The sequence below is a fragment of the Homo sapiens genome, chromosome 3, assembly GCF_000001405.40.
Source record: "Homo sapiens chromosome 3, GRCh38.p14 Primary Assembly".
NCBI lineage: Eukaryota > Metazoa > Chordata > Mammalia > Primates > Hominidae > Homo > Homo sapiens.
The window spans coordinates 149,700,436-149,720,533 of NC_000003.12; the positions used below are offsets into that span (position 1 = coordinate 149,700,436).

At 41.5% G+C, this 20,098-nt stretch overlaps 1 protein-coding gene across 5 annotated transcripts in view, besides 2 other annotated features; it reads right to left on the reverse strand.

Annotated features, from left to right (window-relative positions):
- The window catches only part of WWTR1 (WW domain containing transcription regulator 1), a 207,554-nt gene that overhangs the window by 183,201 nt on the left and 4,255 nt on the right, over nt 1–20,098 (reverse strand). The window contains exons 3-6 of one of the 5 annotated variants that reach the window (XM_047447932.1): nt 17,007–17,131; nt 11,506–11,621; nt 2,689–2,893; nt 2,364–2,523 (exon numbers count right to left, since the gene is read on the reverse strand). The gene's annotated coding sequence lies outside the window, so the exon portion shown is untranslated. Of the gene's footprint in view, nt 1–2,363; nt 2,524–2,688; nt 2,894–11,505; nt 11,622–17,006; nt 17,132–20,098 lie in introns of those variants that run through there. The other 4 variants (XM_047447933.1, XM_047447931.1, NM_001348362.2 and 1 more) reach the window with 4 other exon arrangements.
- Nucleotides 12,971–13,472: an enhancer, noted in NCBI's record as "H3K4me1 hESC enhancer chr3:149431193-149431694 (GRCh37/hg19 assembly coordinates)". NCBI's record gives its function as "activates a minimal SCP1, AML or CMV promoter by ChIP-STARR-seq in naive H9 embryonic stem cells {active_cell/tissue: H9 hESC(naive)}" and the evidence as "EXISTENCE:reporter gene assay evidence [ECO:0000049][PMID:30033119]".
- Nucleotides 13,473–13,972: an enhancer, noted in NCBI's record as "H3K4me1 hESC enhancer chr3:149431695-149432194 (GRCh37/hg19 assembly coordinates)". NCBI's record gives its function as "activates a minimal SCP1, AML or CMV promoter by ChIP-STARR-seq in naive H9 embryonic stem cells {active_cell/tissue: H9 hESC(naive)}" and the evidence as "EXISTENCE:reporter gene assay evidence [ECO:0000049][PMID:30033119]".

Below are 20,098 nucleotides of genomic sequence, written 5' to 3' on the forward strand. Positions count from 1 at the left end.
GTGAATTAATCTTAGCTCCACTACTAATTAGTTATTTGCAAGTAGCTACTAAGCTCAATTTCAGAAACTGTAAAATAGGGTTATAAATTGGAGCAAATATGCAGACTGAGTACATACACTAGCCTGCCTTTCCTGCCCTAAATCCTGAAAAAGACAAAAAAATTAAATTAAATTAAATTAAATTAAATTGGAGCAATAACCAGGAAACTTAACTGACATAATATATTTAAAGTTCCTGGTACTCTAGAAGTATTATGCAAAATTGGTAACAATAGATAACACTGGGAATGGGATCACAGGCTGGGGGCCATGGGTGGAAGAGTCTAACTTTAGCATCCTTCATAACCCTTGGACACGTATGGGCTTCTAAAGAAAACCACATAAATTAAAAAAGAAAGCCGTGCCCAATACACACTGGGCATTTAACAAAGGTGAGTTTTCTTCGTAGGTAACAAGCCCAATACAACTGGTTAGCACCAACACCAGGACTGAAACACAGGACTCCAAGTCTTTGCAGTCTTTCTACGGAGCAGTGATTGTTTTGGATAAAATGACAGCCCAAGGTGCCATTGCAAGCTGCAGCTGCAATCGGTGCGGTAGGCCCAGAGTTTTTGTTCTTAATTTCATTTCATTTGGAGCTAAGAGGACTAATTTGATGATTTTCAATCTCTTCTCCCCTGTCCTGATTTTAAAAGCCTTTCTTTTTTTTTCTTTTCTTTTTTTAGGCATATGTAGTAACATTATAATTTAAATCTAATTTAATTTGGGAAACGATGATTCTTAAAAGAGAAAGTAAAGCATGTGAATAAACTTTGAAGTGTTCACCTTAGTTTGGGACCAAACTGCCTGGATCTTTGTGAAAATCGGTTTTGTATGTCAAGGAGGAGTTTAAGGCCTTTCCGATCACCTGTGTTCCCCTTTTCTGTGCAGCCATGTATCACGTGGAGTTGCTCCTAACCACACCTCACGTGCCCCTGAGCCCTATTTCCTAATTTCTTCTGGGCTGGACTTCCCATTCTCCACCGGCAGCTCCAGTATCCCAAACTTTCTAGTCCTGCTGATCCTCCCAGCAATGGGGTGGAAACTGGAGGGCAGTGTCTGGTCTGTTTTCTAAGAAACGTATGAATTCTATTATCTTTACAAATATAACATGATAAAATATTTTTTTCAATGTTTTTTATTTATCTTTTTATAAAATGAAACTCCTATGATCGATTAAGGAAGGCAGTTATGGCTGGGTGGTTCATGGGGTTTTTTGGAGTTTCTTTGGTTAGTTTTGCTTTCTTTTTTGTCTTTTTAACCGTAAGCTGTTTAAGTTGAAGCGCTCTCAGATGTTTGGGGGGAAACATCCTCTTAAAATGGGCCCTTGTGCTTGCCTTCTGGGGAGGCGGTCCTGAGCAGGGGAATCATAAGGCATTTGTGCATATGTTATACGCAGACTGCACCCACCCCTTCCCCCCAGCCTTTGCCTCTTGGGTTGTTGTGCTGCTTTCCCCTTACTTTGCTACATTTCTATAGTTAAGTTGGTTTTACTTGAATGATTCATGTTTAGGGGGAAAATGAAAATCTCCCTTAAAATTGGTTTCAACTCCTCCTGCAAATAAAATAAATGAAGTGGCAGATGTAACAAAAAAAAAAAAAAGACAGCCCAGGCAAGCAGCACCTTCAGCTGACTCCTTCCGTACTCTGTATTTGTCATCTGTGTACCTGTGATGAAAGGTGATTTGCTGGGCTGATGACAGCAGTCATCAGTCATATTTGTATTATAGAATGGAAAAGTTTGCCATATACTAGCAAGAATAAGCATATGATTCCTCTTGGTATGTATGAAATGTGCCCTACATTAAACAATGAACACTGTACAAACAATATGCAAGTGTTATGAATGTTGTCTGTCTCAGAATGGCAGGCTGGCTCAATGCAGAGATTCTGGGTTTTGGAGAAAAATTCTACAAATCTTGCTTTTAAATCCCAGTTCAGTCTTTACTAATTTGGTAACCTTAGGTAAGTTACTCAACCTCTCTAAGCCTTATTATTATTATTATTATTATTATTATTTTCAGATTCAACATGGTTGTAATAATATTATGGCAAAATTGTTTGGGAAGATTAAATGAGACCACGTATGTGAAGCATGTAGCAAATAGTAAGCACTAAGAAATAACAACTACTGTGATTCTTTGACTTTCAAAAAGCAGCTTTTCTTGACTTTACTCTTGAAACCAAAAAAAAAAGGAGTATCAGACACATCCTGATTGGCAAATGGATTTTTCCATCTATGAAATAACAAGTAGGATCAGTTCTCCTTTGACCATAGAGGCAAAAAATCAGTTTAAGAAATTTTAGTTTTGACTATTGCTTACCAGAATGACCACTGCATTTCTGAGACTGCAAGGCTGTTGATTCTGTTTTGTTGTGAGACTGGCCACAGGCCCACACAGTCTAGGCCTACTCGAATATCTGCCTGAGTTGCCTTTCCTGAAGTCAGTTCTGCCAGGAAGGTATCAGTTGTGGGGATTCTTTCTTTGGCACATAAAATTGGGGTTAAAGATGTAGAAAGTGTTAACATTTACTATGGAGTTAATTCCTTGCTTATCTTGTTACTCTCCACCCCACATACAGCCCACCCTAAGTCCAAATCTCCACGTCTTACTCTACAGAAAGAAGGCTGAATATAAAGTCTCCTACCAAAATAGATACTGAATGTACATGTCTTCTCATTATGGAGATTTTAGTCACTCTGAGGTTTCTCTCTTGAGAGTCGCCAGGATGTGAGCTGAAATGAGTCAATATAAGGCCTTGTGTTTGGGAGTCTCTGGTGTTGTAGAGGAGTGTGTCATAAAGTGGGAGCCTGGATTTCAGAGTCCATCTGGAGCACACATGTTGTTTACATCTATAATGACATAAAAGGTGATGAACAACCCAAAAGGGTTTTGCCAACAAACAGAAATATTTACCACACAACAGTTATGACGGCCAAAATATTAAAACCCAGTTAGAAATTAAATGAACACATTTACAAAGCTATTCTCAGGCACATTACTTTATCTTAGATTTCTTAGATTTGGGATTCTGGCACAGAAAATCTAATTTTTCAGAAAAAAAGTATTACATTAAGAATATCTCCTCCCCACCCTCATTTTGGTTTGGATGTTTATACCCTCCAAGTCTCATGTTGAAATGTGACCTCCAGTGTTGGAGGTGGGCCTCTTGGGAGGTGTTTGCGTCATGGGGGTGGATCCTTCATAAGAGGGTTGGTGCTGTCCTCGACATAATGAGTGAGTTCTCACTCTATGAGTTCACAAGAGATCTGGTTGTTTAAAACAAGCCTAGCAATTCCTCACTGTCTCTTTTGCTCCCTCTTTGCCATGTGACACATCAGCTCCCCTTCACCTTCTGCCATGATTGGAAGCTTCCTGAGTCCCCATCAGAAGCAGATGCTGGCGCATGCTTCTCATCCAGCCTGTGGAACCATGAGCCAAAATAAACCTCTTTACCTTATAAATCACCAAGCTTGAGTATTCCTTTATAGCAACACAAGAATGGACTGATAAACCTCTGAGATGGGCTTTCCTTCTGTCACCAAGGCTGGAGTGCAGTGGCATGATCATGGCTCATTGCAGCCTTGAACTTCTGAGCTCAAGCAATCCTCCCACCTCAGCCTCCCAAAATGCTGAGATCACAGGCATGAGCCACCATGCCTGGCCAAGAATATCTTTTTAAAAATGCTGATTAAAGATGGCTGATTGAACAAATGTGTTTACCCCCAAACCTCTATTAAATTAAAAATAAAAGGATTTTAACAAATTAAAAGGGGGAGAAAATAATGACAGCAACAAAATTTTAAGAGCTAAAAAATAGGATACTTTGCATATCACGTAACAAACTAAGAAGGCTAAATTCTAAATCAGCACAGGGGAAACCAAGAAGCAAGCCATTTCCCAGGGTAGGCTACCCCAAAAGCCTCCCTCCCAAATGCAGTTTAGTGACTGCTGCAGAAGATATAACAGAGGGTCTCTAAGCCAGAGCTAGGACACTAGGCACGATAAAGACTGGGAATATTATGCTGAAAGCAGACAGATTTGAAAAAAGGCTTATATAATGAAGCACTATTCTCAGTCCAAATTCAACCTCCAGAACAGAGGCAGCCAGCATAAGGAACCATTCTAGGAAGGAGAGGAGACATTTACCTTCTAGAAAACTTGCTCAGACCAAGAAAAAAGACCTAAAGACAAGGACATCCCCCTCCCATAGAAATGGCCCAGACTGATCATTCTAAAGACAAAAGGTAACAAGCTTCATCCATGGCACAGAGGTGCCCATTAGCTCTAAAATACAAGTGAAGGGCCAGAATTATCAGACATCTGAAAAAAGCCCCTACCAAAGAAGAGAGAGACAGAACACACAAAAGTTAAAAAAAAAAAAACAACAACAACAAACAACGAAAAACAAAACAAAACAAAAATTAGAGAGGAAACAAAGTCTTGAGAATATGCAGGGAAATAAAAGCTTTTAAAAAAGCTAATAATATCTTCAGAGAAGTAAAAAGATGTTATAAGAACAGGATGAAATAAAAAGAACAAAAAATAACTCTTAGAAATTTGAAATATAATAATGGAATTTTAAAACTTAGACAGTTTATATGATAAAGTTGAGAAACTAGGAAAATAAAGCTAAAAGACAAAGAAAAGGACAATAGGAAAGAAAAAACAATCAGAGGATCAGTCTACAAGGTACAATATTTCAATAAACAGGAGTTCCAGAAAGAAAGAGAACAGAAAAATTGATGGGGAGGAGCTCATAATAAATCAATAATTCAAGATTTCAAAAACCAAAGGATGTGAGCTGCCAGATTGATAGCGCCCCCAAAATACCTAGACAATGGATGAAAATAGACCATTGTGAAATGTCAGACCCTTAGAAATAGGAGAAAATCCAACAAGCTTTCAGAGGGAAAAAGCAGGTATCAAGACCAAGAATTCAAATGTCAGAAAACAATATGAGATAGTAATCATGAACTTGTAGTTGTACAAGAGACAAGATGCCATTTTCAGTTTCTACAAAATAAAGTGAAACAGTAGGTAGAACTTTAAAGTAACACTTAGGGGGAGAAACCCTGATTCCAAAACATATATCTGTTGGGCAGGAAATTGAAAGCAAATGCTCAGTGTTTTGGAGTTGGATTGCAAAATAGATTATAGCAGGGATTTCTTCTTAATCCTTATATATCAACAAAACCACAGTAAGAATAGCTAACCTGGACAACTAATCATTAAGCACTGAAAACATATATTAGCTTGTGCACTCCTCATGACAATTCCAACTGGCAAAAATAGTTATAATTTTCAAAATGAAGTTATGCTAATTAAGTAATTTTCTCAAAGTTTCATATAATTGGGTAAGAGGAGGAGCTAGAATTCAAACTCCAAAATCTGTTTATTTAACTACTATGCCACACAGCCCTGAAAAATAATGTTGCAGTGCGGTGGCTCATTTCTGTAATCCCAGCACTGTGGGAGGCCAAGGCGGGTGGATTGCTTGAGTCCAGGAGTTTGAGACCAGCCTGGGCAATATTTGAAACTCCGTCTCTACAAAAAATACAAAAATTAGCCAGGTGTGGTGGCATGTGCCTGTAGTCCCAGCTACTCAGGATAAGGGGCTGAGGCAGGAGGATTGCTTGTGCCTGGGAGGTGGAGGCTGCAGTGAGCTGAGATCACACAATATACCACTGCAGTCAAGCCTGGGTGACAGAGAGAGACTCTGTCTCAAAAGAAAAAATAAAAAAGAAAAAAAGAAAAAGAATGTTCACATGTAAATTTTTCGTGCACATTCTATAATGTTCACATTTAAATATTTGTAAACCTTAGTATTTCTACTAACACTGACTTCTTTTATTTTTTGAGACAGAATTTCACTCCTGTTGCCCAGGCTGGAGTGCAATGGCGTGATCTCGGCTCACCACAACCTCCGTCTCCTGGGTTCAAGAGATTCTCCTGCCTCAGCCTCCCGAGTAGCTGGGATTATAGGCATGCACCACCACGCCCGGCTAATTTTGTATTTTTAGTAGAGACAGGGTTTCTCCATGTTGATCAGGCTGGTCCCGAACTCCTGACCTCAGGTGATCCACCCGCCTCAGCCTCCCAAAGTGCTGAGATTACAGGAGGTTGGCCACCATGCCTGGCCAACACTGACTTCTTAGAGATAGCAGAAAAAGGTGTATCAGAACTCTATTTTATATCCTTATATTTTGAGCAAGAGGGAACAAGGAGAAAGAAGGGAGATCATCTTAATATTATTATAAAGTAAAACACTATTTTATGAACTTTTTAGAATAGAATATCTTGCTGAGCTGGCAGGACTTCTAGGAAACCTTTTAAGAAAAGGAAGGTCTCAGTGATACATATACAAAACAAAGCAGCAATATTTCAGTTTTAGCTGGACTACCACTCAATTGCTCCGTGGTATTAGTGCCAAAACTACAATAAGGTTTTGCGCAAGACTTTTATAAGTTGGTCTGACAGCCATTTTTATTTACACAAGCCACCCCCCAACCCCAATACTGAATTTTCCATATTAATGTGTTTCCATTGTTCTCAGATGGGCCTTCAGTAACTTTAGCCCTCTTCCAGATGTTTCCTGACATCAGCATCCAAGATGTGCTGGCCAGCTGTCTTTAAAATTGCGGGAACTCTGTGTTGTGTGCATTAGTTATGCAAATGGAAAAGCAAGGACAAGGAGCCAATGTAGAGGATAAAAAAGAACTAGGGGAGGGATTGGCCAGGCTTCACTAGCACATGCAGTGTAGGGAGAAAGCCAAGACAGCAAGCTGTCTTTGATCAAAGCCCCCAGCAAACTTCACCACCGCTCCCCATGCAGAGGGGTTAGTGTCCTCAGTTTCCAGGCCAGGCCTGGGTTTTTGGAAGCTTCCTCAGTCTGTTTTGGTGACTTAATAGGGACACATTGAATATTCACAGATTTATCAACTATCTAACCAGTTTCTCCTCTGCTTCCCTTTGTCAACTAAGAAATATCTTCACGAACAGGAGAACAATTCCCCAAAGTGTAGTCCTCATTAAATTAATAGATGTTTTATGAAAAAAAAGGCAGGGCAGTCACATGAGTTTAGGAAAACCTAGGTTTAACAAAATTAAGCAATTCCCTTTCCCAGAACACTCTGAGGGCCTCTGATATATTCATGTGCACTGTGAATATCAGAGGGAATCATTTCTCAGAGGACTCAGAGCCTACCTAAGGAAATGCTACACTAGAGGCAATGTAGGTTCTCAGCTCCAGTCACCCTTTCAGGAGGCAAACTGACTGCCAATTGAATATGTTTGCATGTCCCCAAACATATGTGTCTCTTACTGAACTTGCAATAGTCTCTACCGCCTGCTCAGGCTCCAGCTTCCCCTTTCTGGGGAAAATTTGGTCATACCAATTGGTATGGCCAACAGTATGGTATGGTCATACCAATTGGTATGGCCAACAGTATGGTATGGCCATACCAATACTGTTCTCCTAAACTAGAATTATGGTAATGGTCCTCTGCCTGATTCCTTTGTCCTAACCAGTGCCCTCTCTCGTCTAATCAATCCTGCAGTAAAGGGCTACTGCTTTGTCTTCCTAGCCTCAGGCCTGTACCCCAGCTCATGACTGGACATTTCTACTTGGTGCACTATAGAACACCGTACCTGGACATGTAAGTGACTGAGTTCATGTCTTCCTCACTCAACAGGCATTTTTCCCCAAACTCTCTATTTCTCTCAATAACGCAGACTCACTATGGTCTAAATATGACTGACAACATTTTTTTTCTTGTTGGTTTTTGTTTGTTTTGTTGGTTGGTTGGTTTTGTTTGCTTGCTGGTTTTTTAATTGTGGTAAAATATACCTAATATAACATTTATTATCTTAACCATTTTGAAGTGTACAGTTCAGTAGTACTAAGTACATTCACGTTGTACAACCAATCTTCAGATCTCTTTTCATCTTGCAAAACTGAAACTCTATGCCCATTAAACAACTCCCCATCTCCCCTCAACCCCCACTGCTGCCCTGCTTCTGGTAGCCACCATTCTACTTTCTCTTTCTATGAATTTGACCACTCTAGGTATCTCATATAAGTGGAACATACAGTATTTGTCTTTTTGTGACTGACTTACTTCACTTAATATGTCCTCAAGGTTCATCCATATTATAGTGTGTGTCAGAACTTTTTTCCTTTTTAAGGCAGAATAATATTCTAGCATATGCTATATTTTGTTTATCCATTTGTCTGTTGATGGACACTTAGGTTGATTTCATATCTTGACTATTGTGAATAGTGCTTCAGTGAACATGAAGGTGCAGATATCTTTATGAGATCCTGATTTCAATTCTTTTGGAAATATACCCAGAAGAAGGATTTCTGTATTATACTGTAGTTCTATTTTTAATTTGTTGAAGAATCTCCATACTGTTTTCCATAGCTGTAGTACCATTTTACATTCTCACCAACATCATACTAGTGTTCCAGTTTCTTCACAACCTCACCAATACTTATCTTTTTATTTGGTTTTATTTATATTTATATTTATATTTTATTTTTCTTGAGACACGGTCTCGCTCTGCCACCCACTGCAACCTCTGCCTCCCGGGCTCAAGCGATCCTCCCACCCCAGCCTCCTGAGTACTGGGACTATGGGCACGTGCCACCATGCCTGGATAATTTTTGTATTTTTTGTAGAGAGGGGGCTTTGCCATGTTGCCCAGGCTGGCCTCAAATTCCTGGGCTCAAGCAGTCTGCCTGCCTCGACTTCCCAAAGTGCTGGGATTACAGGTGTGGGCCATCATGTCTGGCCTTTTTTTTTTTTTTAAACAATAACCATCCTAATTGGTGTGACGTGTTAACTCATTGTGGTTTTGATTTGTATTAATATCTCCCTGTTGATTAGTAATTTTGGGTATCTTTTTATATACTTTGTTGGCTATTTGTATGTCTTCTTTAGAGAAATGTATGTTCAAATTATTTGCCCATTTTTAAATAAGGTTGTTTTGTGGTTGCTGTTATTATTTTACAAGGAACAGAGAACCATCCATGCTAGGTTAAGTAAAGAATTTTTCTTTGCTATGATTATAACAGCTGCATTTTTTGTTTGTTGTTTTTTTGGAAGGATACACAGTGGACTCACTCAAAGAACTAAGGACTCGGCCAGGAGCGGTGGCTCACGACCGTAATCCCAGCATTTTGGGAGGCTGAGGTGGGTGGATCACCTAAAGTTAGGAGTTTGAGACCAGCCTGATCAACTTGGTGAAATCCTGTCTCTACTAAAAATACAAAATTAGCCGGGTGTGGTGGAACATGCCTGTGATCCCAGCTACTCGAGAGGCTGAGGTGGGAGAACTGCTTGAACCTGGCAGGCGGAGGTTGCAGTGAGCTGAGATCATGCCATTGCACTCCAGCCTGGGCAACAAGAGCGAAACTCTATCTCAAAAAAGAAAAGAAAAGAAAAGAACTAAGGACAGTTGGGCCTTCAGGAGACCAGACCTGAGAAAGTTTAGGAACGGAATGAGGCTGGCTGCTCCCTCAGAGGTCACAAACCCTTCTAATTAGTTTTGTCATGGTGCATCTGCCCTATTTTTTTTCTCTTCTTCCCTCTGCTGATTCTCCTCACATAAGACTCCCAGTGGCCATCAAGGCCCCAACTGTACTGGACCTCTCAGTTGTAGTTCACACCATCATGTGGCAGTTTATTCCCATGTTTTCAGAACAAATTCCTCAGAGTGAAAAAATCTGACCAGTTCAGGTCATCTTTCTAGCTGGGCTATATAAGCATTGTATCGTTTTGGGTCAGGTGTTCACCCAGGTCCAACAAGACTTGGAGAAGGGCTTTCAGGCCACACAGTACAGAGCATGACCCTTTAGGACAGGCAGGGAGACATCATTGCAGTTAAGGGCTCTAGGTTGTGAATCACACTGCCTAGGATCAAATTCTGGTTTGCTATTTACCAGTTTTGTGATCTAAGGCAGATAACATCTGTTCTTTGGTTTTCTCATGTGTAAAATAAGTTTAATTATACTACTTATAGGATTATTGTGAAATTAGATAAATTGATACCTACAAAACACTTATAAAACATTATCATTATCCCCGCCTCCCCCCCCCCCCTTTTTTTTTTTTTTTGAGATTGAGTCTCGCTCTGTCGCCCAGGCTAGAATGCAGTGGCGTGATCTTGGCACACTACAACCTCCGCCTCCCAGGTTCAAGTGATTCTCCTGCCTCAGCCTCCTGAGTAGCTAGGATTATAGGTGCACGCCACCAGGCCTGGCTAATTTTTGAAATTTTAGTAGAGACGGGGTTTCACCTGTTGGTCAGGCTGGTCTGGAACTCCTGACCTCAAGTGATCCACCCACCTCAGCCTCCCAACGTGCTGGGATTACAGGCATGAGCCACTGCACCTGGCACGTTATCCCCTTTTAACAAAGGAAGAAATTGAAGCATAAAGAAGTTAAGTAACTTGTCCAAGTTCACATATGTAGTAAAGAGTAGAGCCAGCATATAAAGCCAGGTCACAGCCAAAATCTGCTCTCATAACCACTGTGCCAAACTGATTTACTCCCCAGTTTAGGAAGCTTTCAGTGATAAACTCCACCCAAATTGATTATATATTCATTTACGGGCACAGTTAGGAAAGAAGATGGGAAGGGGTGAAGAGGAGACAGAAGCGTAGGGTTTCACACACTTGCTAAAAAAAAAAAAAAAAAAGGGAGGCTGGATGTGGTTGCTTGTGCCTGTAATCCCAGCAGGTTGGGAGGCCAAGGTGGCTTGAGCCCAGAAGTTCAGGACCAGCCTGCTCACCACAGCGAGATCTTGTCTCTACAAAAGTAAAAGTTTAAAAAATTATTAAGTTGAATTAAAAAAGGAAAATTCAGGATCTTGATATAATAGTCAAAAGTATATGAAATCAGTAGTAAAATAATAAATAATTCTACTATTATTATTAACACAACTTGTCAGAAGTGATACAAACCAAGTAGATGCATTTGTTTTGTGAGGTACTAGGGGTACTAGAGCTTACTTTATTTTATAAAGAACAATCTAGCCAGCTTCTGGGCATATACAACCTGATCACTAGTTTCTCCATTTGGCAGAATTCTTCTCTTAGCCTCAGCAGCTGAACTTGCACCCAGATCACACCACTGTCCCTGCTTTTGCCCAGGTCACCAAAGGCCAACTTTAATAATCACTTCTGGTTTTCATCTCACCTATTTTATCAGCAGATTCAATTGCCCAGTCTCTCTTTCTTAAAACATTTTCTTCTCTTGGCTTCTGTGCATCACATTTTCCTGCCACATTTTCAAATGGCTCAGACCTATCAGCCAGGTCTTAGCTCAAGCTCTCTTTAGAAAGCCTTCTCTGACCACCCAATCTAAAGATGCTCCTTGGTTACTCTCTGTCATATTTACTTTATTTTCCTTAATATTTAGCATTCTCTGAAATCATCTTTTTTATTTATTGTTACTTACCTCTAGTTATCTGCCTTCCCAACCAATGTTAACTTCTTGAAATCAAAGACTGGCTGTTTCACTTATTATTGTATTCTACAAGTTTCTGACATGTAGTAAGGACTCAGTTTGTATTTCTTGATTGTATAAATGTCAAATGAAGTTTAAGTAATGGAAAGAAAGAAAAGTGAAGAAAGGCAAAATTTTAATTTTACATTTTAAAATTTAAAATTGGTAATGTGTATCTGTAGTCCAACCTACTTTTGAGGCTGAGGTGGGAGGATTGAGGCCAGGAGTTCGAGGCTGTAGTACACTATGACCACACCTGTGAATAGCCACTGTACTCCAGCCTGGGCAACAAAGCAAGACCCTATCCTTGCTATAAAATAAAATTTTATTTTAAGTATCTTTGCTATAAAATAAAATTATTGGGAACTAAAGGGAGGGAAGGGGTAAGAGAAAACACAAAAAATTATCATTTCTCTAAATCAGATTTTTTCTATAGCTGTGGCTCTCTCATGATCAGCCTACGATTTACCCAACATTCTCTTGTTCCTGAATTCTTCTTAGACAATTCCTGTGTTGTTATATATTGATCACACTTTTTCACTAAACTGGATGTTTTTAGTTGCTGACAAAAACTTATATCAAGAGGAAAAGTAAGTGCGACCTGCAAAATTAGGGTTGTGTAACCCATCTGCTTATTATTGAACCTTATGAATAGGAATTTTGAGGATTAGACATTAGTCAGTCTCAGGCCAAAACCAGGAGCTAATTCCTATGGAATAGTAACAATCTAAGCTTTCACACTACTCTAAACCACAACTGAAGTGCAAAGTAATTTATTGCTAAATATTACTCATTTTACTACTAGCAAGGGTGGAAAGTATTTTGAAACCAATTACACTTCAGGACAATATAAATGATATCTCATTTAATCCTCAAAATAACTGCAAGATATAGATATTATTATTATGACATTCGCAAAAGTGGAAACTGAGACTCAGTCAGTTACAACATTTGCTCAAGGGCATGCTGTAAATTAAGTAAGGTAAGATGTGTCTGATGCTCAAGGCTACACTTTTTCTCTCCACCCACACTGTCTCCCAAACATTTGGCTTCACATCTGCTGCGTATGAGAGTGACTATCCTGGTTAGCAGGGAATGTAGGTGGAGAGAAAAGGTAATACTCAGAAAAGAAAAGGGTCTAAAACTTATGATTTGCAGGTGAAGGTGGGGTTTGAGGAACTGAAGTCCAGAATATATTTTTCCATGCACTCAGTATTCATTTAAAAATATAATTAAGTTAAAATATTTGACTTTAAAAAAACATTTTCACACATAAACCGTTAGAAATTCAGGATTGTCTATGCCAATTCTGAAAAAAATAAAACCATGAATTCTCTTCCATAATAATGTACATCTTGAATTTTTATTTTATTTTATTAATTTATTTATTTTTTTTGTTTTTATTTTTTTGAGACGGCGTCTCGCTCTGTTGCCCAGGCTGGAGTGCAGTGGCACAATCTCAGCTCACTGCAACCTCTGCCTCCTGGGTTCAAGCGATTCTCCTGCCTCAGCCTCCCAAGTAGCTGGGATTACAGGTACCCGCCACCACGCCCGACTAATTTTTGTATTTTTAGTAGAGACAGAGTTTCGCCATGTTGGCCAGGCTGGTCTCGAACTCCTGACCTCAGGTGCTCCACCCGCCTCCACCTCCCAAAGTGCTGGAATTACAGGCATGAGCCACAGCGCCCGTCCTACGTCTTGAATTTTTAAATCTGTTTATTTAACTTATCTGAGCCAGTTATAAGGATCACAGTGATAGCAGCAGCAGAGGGGCATGGGCAGTAATGGAGGGAGCGGCTGTGGGAGTGACAGTGGCAGCGGTGTGACCCCTGTGGCACGCATCCCTGAGGCAGCGGACTTCGACTTTGTTGCCCAACCCTCGTGCAGTTGGGTGGGACTTGATCCCAGGCCCAGAGCCTCTGCTGCTCTGGACCCTGGCCCCACGTCGCTGCTTTTGCTGGCCACCACTGCGGGGAGGCTGCGGGGAGGAGATGATAGTCTCTGGAGCCTGCCCTGGGAGCCCCCCAGATCCCACCGCTCTGGCAGCCGCCGTGATGGGGCCAGGCCGAGTTGCCTGCTGGCAGAAGAGCAGTGCGGTCGGACGTGAAGGGGTGGGCAGAGAGGGAACCCAAGGCGGAGCTGGGCCTGGGGCGGTGTCACCTTCATGAAGCCAGCGGGAGCCGGGAGCAGGCAGCAGCCTGGACCTTTCGGGTGCGGCTGCAGCCACCCAAGACACCGCTGTGGACATGGACCCCTGCCTCCCTGTGCTTAGGGGCTGGGAGCAGGCAGGAGCCCCGCCCTCCTGGACCCAGCTGCAGACGCCGAGCTGCGACTGCAGAACCAGGCATCTCTGAACTCTCAGGGGCCCAGGAAGGCCACCCTTGCCCCGGTAGGCTCAGAGGGGTCTGCTCCCAGTGTCTAGCCTCTCCCCGCTCCCAGCGCCCCCTCGGATCTCAGAGCAAGGATGGGGCCAAGCCCGGGCGCTGTTGCAGCCTGGCTGGGTGTGCGCAGGCTCAGGGCACCGCTGAGACACCCGGCCCCTGTCATCTCTGCCCTCTCTGGACTTTGGGAACTAATGAACATGGGAGGGAGACCAGGGGGTGCTGAGGACAGCCTGGCGCTGGCCTGCAGGTGCCCCTTGGCAAGAACAGCCTGGGCACCATGAACAGCAGCAGGAAGCAGATAGGCTCCTGGGCAGAATGGGGTGGGTCCCCAGGAAACTCCTACCTTCAAGCCAAGGGGGGCCTGAAGCCTGGGGGCTGGGCTGCCAGTCCCACGGACCAGAGTGGGAACGTGTGGTGCTTTTCCCTGGGCCCATCCACGGCCACCCATGGACCAATCAGCACACACTTCCTACCCTCTGAGGCCCATTAAAAACCCCCAGAGTCAGTCAGACTCGGAAGAGAGGATGGAGAGAGGACAGGGAGACAAGGTGATGACCAGCTGCAGAGAGGAGCCGAGGAGATGGTGGGAGGACTAGCTGCAGAGAGGAGCTACCCTCTCTGCTGACAGCTGAAAACTCGTCGGGACACCCTGGCTATGGAAAGAAGCTGCCCACTGCAGGTCTCCTCTGAGCTATTCTGTTTCTCAATAAAGCTCCTCTTCGCCTTGCTCACCCTCTACTTGTCTGTGTGGAAGAACAAGAACTCGGGACCCACCAAATGGCAAGGCTAAAAGAGCTGTGACACAAACAGGGCTGAAACATGCCCCTTGTCCACCATGTTGTGGGTGAAGAGGAGAGAACACCTGCGGCCCTTCAGGGAGCCCAGACCTGGGAGCTCCCCAAGCCAGGGCTGTGACTCCCTCTTTGGGGGCCTGCAGTTGCAGGCATCTCCAAGCTTCTGGGTGTCAAGCTTCTGGGCGTCACTGCATTTTCCGGTGCCAGCTGGGGAAGTTGCTTGCAGTGTGCCTGGTCCAGCATAGCCTCACAGAGCGCTGGCACCCGTGCCAGCACTCGGAACTGCCTGCCCCCTGGCAGCAGCCGGCGTATTTGTGCGCAGTGGCCGGATCCCACGCTTGCTTACACATCCCTTGCCGCTCCACACCTGACTCAGTCTCCCTTAGAGGTGTGATCAAGGGCCAGTAGCATGAGCTGAGCACAGCCTGCCAGGCCGAGTGGGCGGAACAAGCCCAGAGGGCCTGAGAAAACTTGGGCAAAGGCACCACCAGCCAAAGAGATTTCCGGCCAGAAAAGCGACATCCCAATCCCAAAGATCCCAGAACAACAGTACTTCATACATATACCTCACATAGAGTTGGGATATAAGTACAACTTAGTACATGTGGATAAAGTGCTCTGCAGATATTAATTTCTCTTTCTAATACTTATGCTAATCACAAAAATAGTAAAAATATGAATAGCAAAGAGTGATGGGGATCTCAGAGGGGACTACAACATATTTAACTGGATAAAAAGTCTTGTTTGGTTTGGTTTGGGGTGGGGGTTAACTAGGGAGCCTCATCAACATTTATGGCATTGTCTTCCTAAGAAAATTGGTCTCAGGTTTGCCTACAATGAAAACATTGACAAAACATTGAACATGAATTCTCTATTCAGTGAAGAGAGAATTTACTATTCAGGGCTATTTGTTTTGAATTCAGAAATTGTTCTGCGCCTGGCGTGGTGGCTCATGCCTGTAATCCCAGCACTTTGGGAGGCCGAGATGGGTGGATCACTTGAGGGCAGGAGTTTGTGACCAGCCTGGCCAACATGGTAAAACCCTGTCTCTACTAAAAATTCAAAAATTAGCCAGGCATGGTGGCACACAGCTGTAATCCCAGCTACTCAGAAGGCTGGGCAGGAGAATTGCTGGAACCTGGAAGGCAGAGGGTGCAGTGAGCCGAGATCACACCACTGCACTACAGCCTGGGTGACAAAGGGAGACTCCATCTCAAAAAAAAATAATAAAATAAAATAAAGAAATTGTTCTGATGCTCTGTGGCCTACTTACCTTTTCAACTAAATCTACCCATACTTGATACTTGTCAAAGCCACAGAAAGATAAAAACAATCCTACAAAATTTGAAAACTACTCTGAATATACTGTGATTGAGGGATGGCCCAAAGGAAAATAAAAATATTCTTATCTGGTATTAGGGAAAAAAAAATTATATTTTAACATTTTCTCTTAGAATCATTTACTTATTGATTGTTGAGACCTGTTTTTTAATAGTAAACAAACAAAAAGTCATATTTTATTTTTTAAATTTAATTTCTAGATTTCTTAATACTCATATTATTTCATAAGTGGATGGATGGCTACTTGGGTGGCTCTAAATGTGTAGTTTAGGATATGTCCAGAAGAATTAACAAGTTTAGAAAATAAAAATTTTTATAAGGACAGATCTACAGAGAAATCATAAGAAAAAAAATGTGGGCATACAGTCACAAGAATCAAAAATTATGGGCCAAGCATAGCAGCTCATACCTCTAATCCTTGCACTTTGGGAAGCTGAGGTGGGCGGGTTACTTGAGCCCAGAGTTCGAGACCAGACTGGGCAACATAGGGTGAACCCTGTCTCTATAAAAAATAAAAAACTTAGGTGGCACATGCCTGTAGTCCCAGCTATCTGGGGGCTGACGTGGGAGGATTGCTTGAGCTGGGGAGGTTGAGGCTGCAGCGAGCTGAGATTGTGCGACTCCCCAGTGGGTGACAGACTGGCCTTGTCTGGTTAACATTTCTCCTAAAGGTAATTCTACTTTGCAATTATATGGTGCTTCTTTCCCGTTCGAAAGCAGTTTCACTTCTATTATCTCACTTTATAAGCTTCGAAGGCTAAAGTAATGAATACAATTTTAGGCTATCTTCAGCCTAAAAACAATGAAAAGTTAGCAAAACAAACAAACAAACAAAAAAGATTATGAACTAATGGTCTACAAAGACTATTTTCAAGGACAATTCTTTTGATTGTGCAGATTGATAAAGGAAGCAGGTCTCCTGAGTAATCATTACCTTCCGTCTCTGGTGGGTGTGTTGAACCACACCATCAGGAAAGCCACTAATTATCAGGAAGAGCAAAGCTGAACTGTTCCCCTAAGCTTCTTCGAGGTGCCAGAGCAAATCCAGAGGAGAAAATCCTGCAGTGGAGGGAAAAAGGATTTGTGTCTCTGAGAAAGTGAGATTTAAGATGTATGCCCTCTGGTGCCCAAGAAGTGAAGGACAAGGGTGATGATCCAACATAAGCAATTTGTGAATATGAAATATGTTGAAAGACTTTGAAAATTTCCTGATTAGGTGTAGGGTGGGTATAGTGAAGAAGGATATTCTTGGCTTAAGATATAGACATAAAAATTCATACATTTGGAAGGTCTCTCTTATGGAAATTCAGGAACAAGACTATGGTAGCTTGTTAGTATTCACATGTTTTCTACTACTCACAAGTAGTAAATACTTGTGAGTATTCATTCATGTTTTTCTCCTAGATTTTATATCACCATTAATAAAACAGGTATTATTATTATTCTAATTTTAGAAAAAAATAGAAATGATCATATCATCAAGGCTGATTTATACTGAAAAATAAGTGAACAAGGGAAATTATACAAAATTATATCCCTAAACAAATATATTATAAAATTGCTTACTCTTTTATAATAACTCAATGACATTACCAAGTTACCAGACCCCAGAGACTATTTTTTAAAGTCTATGTGACTATTAGAAAATTAAAGGGCCTTCCATAGTGTCCCATCTTCTCATTGTGACCTTACGTTCTTTTTTTCCCCATAATCACCACATCAAACTTGGAATTTTGTATCTCAAAGAAGCAGGATTGTTTTCTCAAGGAAGCAGATTAAGAAAAAAACTGAGGAAGAAAAGGAAACAGATAGTAGAAAGCAGGAGATCGTTACCAACCACTCATTCAGCCACATGCCATGAGGGCCACTAGTCTCTGTTCACACAGGCTCAACAGCTCACAGGGTCCTCTGCTATCTCACTTTGGTTCTTTTCATTTTAATTTTTTACCCAAAGTTTATTATGGTAAAATATATGTAACAAAATTTACTATCTTAATCATTTTTAAGTGCACAGCTGAGTGGCATTCAGTATATTCATATGGTTGTGCAAACATCACCAGCATCCATCTCCAGATCTCTTTTCATCTTGCAAAATTGAAACTCTATGCCCGTTAAACAACAACTCATTGCTCCCTTCCTGCTACCCCTGGCAACCATCATTCTACTTTCTGTCTCTATGATTTTGACTACTTTAAGTACTTCATAAAAGTGGGATCATATAGTATTTGTTGTTTTGTGACTGGCTTATTTCACTTAGCCTAATGTCCTCAAGGTTCATCCATGTTGTAGCATGCCTCAGAATTTTCTTTCTTCTTCTTCTTCATTTTTTTTTTCTTGTGGCAGGGTCTCATTCTGTTGCCCAGGCTGGAGTGCAGTGGTATGATCTCGGTTCAGTGCAACGTCTGCCTCCCAGGTTCAAGCGGTTCTCCTGCCTCAGCCTCCTGAGGAGCTGGGATTACTGGTGCTTGTCACCACGCCTGGCTAATTTTTGTATTTTTGGTAGAGATGGGATTTCACTATGTTGGCCAGGCTGGTCTTGAACTCCTGACCTCAAGTGATCTGCCTGACTTGGCCTCCCATAGGGCTGGGATTACAGATGTGAGGCACCATGCCTGGCCTGAATTTTCTTCCTTTTTAAGGCTGAATAATATTCTTTTTCTTTTTTTTTTTTTCTTTTTTGAGACCGAGTCTCACTCTGTTGCCCAGGCTGGGGTGCAGTGGCATCATCTTGGGGCTCACTGCAACCTCTGCCTCCCGAGTTCAAGTGATTCTTGGGCCTCAGCCTCCTGAGTAGCTGGGACTACAGGCGTCAGCCACCAAGCCCAGCTAATTTTTTTATTTTTAGTAGAGACAGGGTTTCACCACGTTGGTCAGGCTGATCTTGAACTCCTGACCTCAGGTGATCCACCTGCCTCGGCTTCCCAAAGTGCTGGGATTACAGGCGTGGCCACTGTGCCCAGCCTTAAGGCTGAACAATATTCTATTGTAAGTATATATCACATTTTGCTTTTTCATTCATCTGTCAATGGCCTCTTGGGTTGCTTCAATGTTTTAGCTATTGTAAGTAATGCTGTATGAACACGAGCATACAAATATCTTTGATACTTTGCTTTTAATTCTTCTGAGTATGGCACTGCTGGATCATATGGTAAATCTATTTTTAATTTTTTGAGAAACCACCATACTGCTTTCCACAGTGGTTATACCATTCTATATCCCCCAAACAGGCACAAAGATTCTATTTTCTCCACATACCCTGCAAACACATTTTATTTTCTATTGCTTTGATAGTAGCCATCCTAAGGGTGTCCAGGTGGCTCTCACTATAGTTTTGACTTGCATTTCCATAATGATTAGTAAGGCTGAGCATCTTTGCATGTGCTGATTGGCCATTTGTATATCTTCTTGGAGAAGTATCAAATATCTATTCAAGTCCTTCACCCATTTTTGAATTGAGCTGTTTGTATTTTTGTTGTTGAGTTTTAGGAGTTCTCCATATATTCTGGATACTAATCCCTTATCAGATATATGACGTGTAAATATATTCTCAAATTCTGTAGGCTGTCTTTCTATTCTGTTGATAGTGTCTTTTGATATAAAATTTTTAAATTTTCATGAAGTCCAATTTGTCTGTTTTTTTCTTTTGTTGCCTGTGCCTTTGGTGTCATCACACAAAATCACTGCCTAATCCCATGTCGTGAAGTTTTTGCCTTATGTTTTCTTCTAAGAGTTTTATAGTTTTAGGGCTTACATTTAGGCCATGGATCTACTTTGAGCTAAATTATGCGTATGGTATTAGGTAAAGGTAAAAGTTCATTATTTTGCATGTAAATATCTAGTTTTCTCAGCACCATTTGTTGAAAAGACTGTCCTTTTCTTATTGAATAATCATGGTTCCCTTACCAAAAATCATTTGACCATATATTTGAAGATTTATTTCTGGATTCTCTATTGTATTCATTGGTCTTTATGTGTGGTCTTTATGCCACTACCACACTGTCTTAATTACTATTACCTATTATAAAT